At 39.6% G+C, this 9,258-nt stretch overlaps 1 annotated feature.

The window, feature by feature from the left end:
* Positions 1,373-1,905: an enhancer, noted in NCBI's record as "NANOG hESC enhancer chr12:85397904-85398436 (GRCh37/hg19 assembly coordinates)". NCBI's record gives its function as "activates a minimal SCP1, AML or CMV promoter by ChIP-STARR-seq in naive H9 embryonic stem cells {active_cell/tissue: H9 hESC(naive)}" and the evidence as "EXISTENCE:reporter gene assay evidence [ECO:0000049][PMID:30033119]".

Genomic DNA, 9,258 nt, shown 5'->3' with positions numbered 1-9,258 from the left:
ACCTAGGCATAGGGTAAATACACCTGTTCCAAATGGGAGAAATTGCCCAAAACAAAGGGGCCCCAGGCCCCATGCAAGTCTGAAATCCAATAGGATAGTCATTAAACCCTAAAGCTCTAAAATAATATCCTCTGACTCCATGTCTCACACCCAGCTCACTCTGATGCAAGAGGTGGGCTCCCACATACTTGGAAAACTCCCACAGCTTTCAGCAGCTCCACCCCTGTGGCTTTGAAGGGTACAGCACCCCTAACAGCTGCTTTCATGTGCTGGCATTGAGTGTCTGTGGTTTTTCTGGGTGCACGGTGCAAACTGTCAGTGGATCTACCATTCTAGGGTCTGGAGGATGGTGGCTCTCTTCTCACAGGTACACTAGGCTGTGCCCCAGTGGGTACCCTATGTGTGGGCTTCAACCCCACATTTTCCTTCTACACTGCCTTAGCAGAGTTTCTCCATGAGGGTTTCACCCTGAAGCATACCTCTGCCTGGACATTCAGGTATTTCCATAGATCCTCTGAAATCTAGGCACAGTTCCCATACCTCAATTCTTGACTTCTGCACACCTGCAGTCCCAACACCATGTGTAAGCCACCAAGGCTTGGGGCTTGCACCCTCTGAAGCCATGGTCTGAGCTGTATGTTGACCCCTTTTAGCCATGTCTGGAGCTGAAGCAGCTGGGATCCAGGGCACCATGTCCTGAGGCTGCACAGAGCAGGGGGACCCTGGGCCAAGCTCGCCAAACCATTTTTCCCTCCTAGGGCTCCAGGCTTGTGATAGGAGGGGCTGCTATGAAAGTCTCTGACATGCCCTCCTGATGTTTTCCCCATTGTCTTGGTGATTAACATTTGGCTCCTCATTACTTATGCAAATTTCTGCAGCTGGCTTGAATTTCTCTCCAGAAAATGGGCTTTTCTTTTCTGTCTCATCGTCAGGCTGCAAATTTTCCAAACTTTTATACTCTGCTTCCTCTTGAATGCTTTGCTGCTTAGAAATTTCTTCCTCCAGATACCCTAAATGATCTCTCTCAAGTTTAAAGTTCTACAGATCTCTAGGGCAGGGGCAAAAAGTCTCCAGTCTTTTGGCTAAAGCGCAGCAAGAGTGATCTTTACTTCAGTTCCCGATAAGTTCCTCAGGTCCATCTGAGACCACCTTAGCCTGGACTTCATTGTCTATATCACTATCAGCATTTTAGTCAAAGCCGTTCAACAAGTCTCTAGGAAGTTCCAAACTTTCCCACACTTTTCTGTCTTCTGAGCCCTCCAAGTCTCTGGGAAGTTCCAAGCTTTCTCACATTTTTCTGTCTTCTTCTGAGCCCTCTAAACTGTTTCAACACTGCCTGTTAGCCAGTTCCAAAGTCACTTCCACATTTTCAAGTATCTTTATAGCAGTGCCCCACCACCTCAGTACCAATTTACTGTATTAGTCTGTTCTCATGCTGCTTTGAAGAAATACTCAAGACTAAGTAATTTATTAAAAAAAAAAAAAAAAGAAAGAGGTTTAATTGACTCACAGTTCCACATGGCTGGGGAAGCCTCAGGAAAATTACAGTCATGGCAGAAGGCACCTCTTCACAGAGCAGCAGGATAGAGCATGAGAATGAGCAGGGAAAATGCCAGATGCTTACAAAACCATCAAATCTCATGAGTCCCACTCATTACCATGAGAACAGCATGGGGGAAACCACCCCTATTGATTCAATTACCTCTACCAGGTCCTGCCCTTGACAGATGGGGATTATTACAATTCAAGGTGAGATTTTGATGGGGATACACAGCCAAACTATATCAGTTTTCTTATAGGATTTTAATAGTTGGAGGCCTTACATTTAAATCTTTAATTCATCTTGAGTTAATTTTTGTATATTATGATAGGAAGGGGTCTAGTTTCATTTTTTTCTGTACATGGACAGCCAGCTGTCCCAGCAACATGTATTAAATAGGGTGCCTTTTTCCATTGATTATTTTTGTTGGCTTTGTCAAAGATTGGATGGTTGTAGGTGGAAAGTTTTTTCATGGGTTCTCTGTCCTGTTCCATTGGTCGATATGTCTGTTTTTGTACCAATACCATGTTGTTTGGGCTACTGTAGCAGTATATTATAGTTTGAAGTCAGGTAGTGTGATGCCTCCAGGTTTGTTTTTTCTGCTTAGGATTGCTTTGACTACTCAGGCTCTTTTTGAGTTCTATAAGAGTTTTAGATTTTTTTTTCCCTAATTCTGTTAAAAAAAATGCCGTTGGTAGTTTGGTAGGAATAGTGTTGAATCTGTAAATTGCTCTGGGCAATATGAACATTTTAATAATATTGATTCTTCCAATTCATGAGCATGAAATATTTTTCTATGTATTTGCATCATCTCTGATTTATTTTTGCAGTTTTTTATAGCTCTCTTTTTATGGAACTTTTAACTCCTTGGTTAATGTATTCCTAGGTATTTTAATCTTTTTGTGGCTATTGCAAATTAGATAAATTTTTGATTTGGCTCTCAACTTGAACATTATTGCTGTATAAAAATGCTACTGAGGGCCAGCCACAGTGTTTCACACCTGTAATCTCAGCACTTTGGGAGACTGAGGTGGGTAGATCACATGAGGTTATGAGTTTGAAACCAGCCTGGCAAAGATGATGAAACCTTGTCTCTACTGAAAAGAAAAAAAAAATAGCCAGGCGTAGTGGTGCATGCCTGTAGTCCCAGCTACTTGGGAGGCTGAAGCAGGAGACTCACTTGAACCCAGGAGGCTGAGGTTGCAGTGAGCTGAGTTCATGCCACTGGACTCCACCCTGGTAGACAGAGTGAGATGCCATCAACAACAACAACAACAACAAAAGTAAGAAAGAAAGAAAAAGAAAAAAAGAAATGCTACTGAGAAGCCAGGCATGGTGACTCCTGCCTGTAAGCTCTTTGGGAGGCCAAGTCAGGTGCATAATTTGAGCTCAAGAGTACAAGACCAGCCTGGTCAACATGGTGAAACCCCATCTATATTGGTTGATTTTCATGCTGCTGATAAAGACATATCTGAAACTGGGAACAAAAAGAGGTTTAATTGGACTTTCAGTTCCACATGGCTGGGGAGGCCTCAGAATCATGGCAGGAGGTGAAAGGCACGTCTTACATGGCCGTGGCAAGAGAAAAAATGAGGAAGAAGCAAAAGGGCAAATCCCTGATAAACCCATCATATCTCATGAGACTTATTCACTATAATGAAAATAACATGGGAAAGACCATCCCCCATGATTCAATTACCTCCCGCTAGGCCTCTCCTACAACATGTAGGAATTCTGGGAGATACAATTCAAGTTGAGATTTGGGTGGAGACACAGCCAAACCATATCACCATTGAAAGAAAGAAAGAAAGAAAGAAAGAAAGAAAGAAAGAAAGAAAGAAAGAAAGAAAGAAAGAAAGAAAGAGAAAAAAAGAAAGATTGATTTTGTATCCCGAAACTTTACTGAAGTTCTTTATCAGTCCTAGAAACCTATGTATGGGTGGAATCTTTAGGGTGTTCTAGGTATAGAATCACATCATCAGTAAAGAGAAATGCAGCCTGAGCTCTGCTTCGGCCTACTCTGCAGGCAGTTTCCCCCACCAATTCAATTGACTATGGGGATTGTGGAATCTCTTGTAGTGAGGATCCCAGAGGTCCACAATGGGAGTGTGTTGTCCTGCAGTTCCTTCCCTTACCCCTTCCTAATTACCTTTTCAGGGATGGGAGCTGGTCCTGGTGCTCAGCAACTCTATTCAGAGTTCCCAGCTTCCTCTGTCTTCCATCTCAGTGTTTCTGTTGCATGTCTGTCAACTTTCAGTGTTTTCTCTTAAAAGATCTGTTCAAAATGTGACGGTTTACTCAATATTTTGGTTTCTTTCAGTGAGAGAGTTGCTTCCCAGCTGTGTCTAATAGGCCGTCTTGTCTCTTCATACCACTCCTATTTCATTCCAGCATCAGATCAGTCACATCTGAGCACGTTAGATTTTTTTTGTAAAAATGTCCTATTGCTTTCCATGCGTTGGTTCATTCTGTTTCCATTGCTTAAAGTGCCTCCTACAAATCTGTTGGTAGAAACCTAATGTCCTTTACAGACCACTGAGAAGCAGAAAAGTGGAGTGATCAATACGTAATTTTGGAGTCAGATGCCCTTGGTTCAAATCATGCCACTTATTATGTGATGTTAAGCAAGTTTCTTCACCTTTCTGTAGTTCAGTTTCCTTATTCAAAATATACATATAATAAAAAGTAACCCTATGAATTAGGTATTACTATGTTAGGATTAAATGCTTTGATGTTTACAAAGTATTTAAGAATGTGACCTAATGCCTTGTAAAGGAATATTATTCACATATTGGTAAAATAAACAAATTATACTGAATTCCAAATTGCTCTGAGGAATATAGTATATTGGTATTTTAATTGCTCTGAGGAATATTCATGATATGCCAGTCACTGGAATCCATGAAGTAAGGGTGACAGAGTAGACTTTGAGAGAGAAGTGTTTTCATGTCTTAAGAAGCTGGACTGAACTGGTCTCCTAGTCTCCTGGAACAGCTTAAATGGGGTAAGTTACTACTGTGCCTGATTTCAGGAACACCTCAGAGGGACATTCTTTTAAAAAGTCTAGAATAATTTCACACAAAAATCCATCAAATTCTACCAGTCACCTCAAAATGAACTGTGAACAAAACAGACACAGCATTAGGAAGTTTGCTTTTCAGGTATGTCGGAGTTTGCAAGAAAAAAAAATACTTTTAGTGTTTACCTCTGAATTTACCAGTGTTTGACTTTGAGTTATATTATTTTCTTCTAAATCCAACCAGCTAGGGTGATTGGGCCTCTTGGTCCTCTGAACTCAGAGGGCTTAAAATGAGACTAGAAAAATATGTTGGTATCTCCCCACACTTCCACCCTGCCTCTAAGTGCCCCATAGAAACACTTTTTTTACTCTGTAGTCCTCCAGTCTATTGAGCCCTCCACATCCTCGCTAATCATACTGCCAACTAAAGAATGACAGGTTCATAAATTTGGAAAGCAGAGCTTTATTTCTTATAAAGGGTTGCAGCCTGCAAGTGGCCATTTTCACAGCCTGGGAAGCATAGCCTCTGGGCAGAGGCCAGAAACAGGCACTTGAGGAGGCTCAGAAGAATAAGACAGATGTATGCTGAATGGGTGGCTACATATACATATTCAATGAGCTATAGAAGGAGTCATGAATGTCATAAATATTTCCAAAAGGAGAAACGTGCACAGGCACAATTGGGCCTCATGCCTCTTCATGGGTCCAAGGGTGGAGTTTTTGGCTGTCTAAAAAACATGAAAGAGAAGACAGGAAGATACTTAATGTGGATCCTCTGTAGACTGTCCAGAATCACTCCATAGTTGCTGGTCTCTTATTAAGAAGGAATGCAGGTCAGTAGTGTTGAAACTGCAAAAGGGAAGAGCAGCAGTTGAAATCAGAACCAGTTTAAATCAGTCGGTTGAAATCGGAGATGGAGTCTTTTGAAAGGGATGACTTCTCTTTATCCCTTAGGAAAGAAAGCCTAATAGTGGATAGCAAATTAGGGATTATAATGAGGCATGCCCAACCTCCTATGCCATCATGGCTGGAACTCAGCTTCCAAGGTTTCTCTGGGGTCCCTTTGGCCAAGAAGAGATATGTTAGGGGTGCTTAGAATTTTTTTTTATTTGTCAACACCAACCTCCTGTCCTCATCTCTTTTTTAACTTAGATTCAGGATTCATTAGTAACATCTTTCAACCACCCTTCTCTCACTCTTGATTTCAGTAGCTAAGTCTACGCTGACTCTGGCGTAGTTGAAGTTTGCTGGATAAAATATTACAACTGCACAGAACAGAATAAAATTACGATAACTGACATTAAATCAACACTATTTCCTGACAATACTAGTGGATTTCTGATAAGGTCCATCTCTTACAGGGAATATTACTGTCAGTAGGGTTTGAGAAGTGGACTTTATAGGATTTGTAAAAACGATAATAAATAATGAATATGTAAATACATGTTCCCTGTTTATTGACTTAGTGGAAGCCTATTTTTATCCTTAGGCCAGTATGTTATAGCAGAAAAACACCACACAGTTATGAACTAAATGACCTGAATTTGAGCCCTGGATCCACTTCTAGACTCTTGAGTCACATAATTGCTTGAGCCTCAGAAGCTTCTTCCCACCTAACTTACTTCAAATGACTCCAATGGCATATGAAATGTTTTGGAAGTACTCTGTCCTTACTGCAGAATAAGGTGCAGAAGGAATTCAGGTATGGCTGTCTTCATGTGCAGCTGCAATTCTCTCAGTCTTCAACTATGAGCTATGAACAGCAGCAACTCTAATTTAAAAGCTGTTTAAAAATATCTCTCTTCACAAATCTTTCATTAAAGTGTCTCCCAAAAGCTCAGTGCATTCCATAAAATTCTTCTTAAATCCTTGCTATACTTTAATGAAAAAATGCCAAGGGAAAATTTATTTTTTCTTTAAATATCATTGTATTAGATTTGGACTTGAGATACATTTTTTGCTTAGATTTTTTTAGTTCCTGAAATTTTATTATGGTGTTTATGTTGTTGTTCCATTTCAGCACAAATTGTCTAAAACCAACTGGGTGCACTGCAATTCAATTCTGCAGCTGACCAATTGGAGTTAGCACAGATTCCACAAATTATAAGACTTGGTCCCTAAGAAGGCTGCCCTGACTTGATACACTACAGCCACACTTTAGAGTTATCAGGAGACACTCATACTTCTTATGACTGACTGGCTATAAATTCAGAGGTTTCCATGACTCTAAATCAGTTTTGATAACTTGCTAAAAGGACACAGAAATCAGGAAAGCACTATACTTATGATTACAGTTGTATTACAAAGGACATAAGTCAGGAGAGCCAGCCAAATGAAGAACACATACAGTGCAACCTAGAAAGAAACACAAGGCTTCTATGAACTCATCCTACGGAATCAGAGCACATCACCCTCCTGCCACATCAGTGTATTTACCAACCAGGAAGATAATCAATTTTTGATGTCCAGAGTCATTATTGCAGTTTCATTAAGTAGGTATTATTGGTTAAATCATTGAGCACCTGATTGAATTCAACTTCCAGCCTTTCTTTTTTCCCCTGATGTTGGAACTTGGGCTGATACCATGTGAGTCAAAGCTCCAATACCTTTATCACATGGTTGGTTTTTTGGCAGTGGCTTATGCCCATCACAAATCATCTGGCTAACAGAAGCCAATAGTAATGACCATCATGGGTCATCTCATTAACATAAATTATCAAAGCCTGCTGTGAATAACAAAGAAATACTATCACTTGGAAAATCCCAATAATTTATTGTTTCCTAGGAACCAGAGGCAAATGCCAGTCAAATTCTTTATAATTTAACAGCTATTTTTTTTATTACTAATAGAAATGCCCATAAACAGGTGGGATTTATTGGTATATGAATGTAACATAGACAGCACATAATATTTACTACTATGTGTTGGCTGACAGTTCATATAAATCAAAGTAGCTTGGTCTGCAGCTCTATACTCCATCAATTCTGTCACCTCTCTAGGCAGTTATTTAAATTTAATTCCTCAGGTTTTTTTAAATAATGACAATAAAATATCTACCTCCTTATTAATTATTTGTTACCCATCCTGGCCTTTGTTAGTTTCTAGGCTCTATCAAGGCTCCCCTTCCCTCCAAAAATTAGAGAAAAATATGTCCAACTATGTTGAGTTTTTGAGGGAATGAGAAATAAGTATTAGGATCCAGTATGCACTGAGTGGCCAGCCACAAGTGCATCTGGTGAGGGAAAGGTAAAAGGAAGCTCTTATTGGTAACATGGGAAAAGTTCACATAAGCTACTTATAAACAGAGTTTATTCGTTCTAGAGACTCAAAGACAGAGTTGTTGTCAGTTCATTGGCAGAGATGCCATTACTGGGCAAATATTCTTTCCAGAACATCTTATCCGAATTACTACAGTCCTAAAGAAAATCTAGTAATAAGTCTTGTCATAGGAGTATATGAATATGTGTGAAACATACACGCTGTGGAAAACAGGAAACATGTGAAAGATGTGAAAGGATTTCTTGTGGGGTTTTTAGAAAGTCCTTGGAAACAATTTCTTAGTTAAGCGTGTTTGTATGAACCCATCTCCTTTGTGCCTTCTCAGACCTATTTTGTCTGGATCTAGCAAAAGTGATTTTATCCTGACATCTGCAGATTTCACAGATCAATGTCATAGATGTTGTCTTGTTTATTTTTAAATCCTTTCTGTTGCACATGGGAGGTGACAAATATGAGTTCAAGGGATTTTCATGGAATCCTAACCCAAAGAGATGACCATTATTTTGTCTTAATTACTTCAGTTACCTTCATTTGGTTCAAAGGGGTGGGACGATTTGGGAATCAAGGGAAATTTTATTAGCATTCTTTTACAAAATAAGAAATGGAAAACTCAGCTCAAACTGGTTCAGTCAAAATAAGGGATGTAATTTCTCTTGCAGCTCATGGATAGTTCTGCCTTCTGTTGTAATCGGTTTGCTAATGAAAAAAAAAAAATTAAGTCCTGTAAAACATTTTAAAGAGCTTTATTCTGAACCGATATGGTGACCATGCCTCAGGAACACAGTTTCAATAGGTCCTGAGAAAGTGCACACAAGGCAGTTGGGTTGCAGTATGGTTTTAAACATTTTAGGGAGACAGAAATTACAGGTAAAATCTTAAGTCAATACATGGAAGTTGTACATTGGTTTAGCCTGAAAAGGTGGGACATCTCAAAGCTGGGATTTTTAAGTCATAAGATGTTTTTAAGGATTGTTAGTTTGGCATTTGGTTAAAGGAGCTAAGCTTTGTCTAAAGACTTGAAGTCAGTTAAAAGGAATGCTTTAGTTAAGGCAAGGGGGTCTGCTATCTGTCATGTGATGCCATACCAGACTCACCTTGGAATGTAAGCCACATTATACCAGGTGTATAATTTTAAAAAACTGTTCAATGAGATTTTATGGTTGTAGGGCAGGGCCTGACTGAACCCTTGCCTTGCATGGCCTTAGGCTTTGTTTATAACTTGTTATCTTATTCACACAAAGAGTGTTCTGTCAGTCTCATGACCTCTATTTTTAACTTAATGTTTGTCAGTTGTGCTTAAACTCCAAAAAGGAGGGGGTATAACAAGGCATGTCTTTTTTTTTTTTTTTTTTTTTTTTTTTTAAGTTTTCTTGAGCCGAAGTCTTGCTCATTTCTCCTAGGCTGGAGTGCAATGGTGCA

The sequence above is a fragment of the Homo sapiens genome, chromosome 12 (genome assembly GCF_000001405.40).
Source record: "Homo sapiens chromosome 12, GRCh38.p14 Primary Assembly".
NCBI lineage: Eukaryota > Metazoa > Chordata > Mammalia > Primates > Hominidae > Homo > Homo sapiens.
The sequence above is the reverse complement of the archived record's forward strand: the minus strand, read 5'-3'. Positions and strand labels throughout refer to the sequence as shown.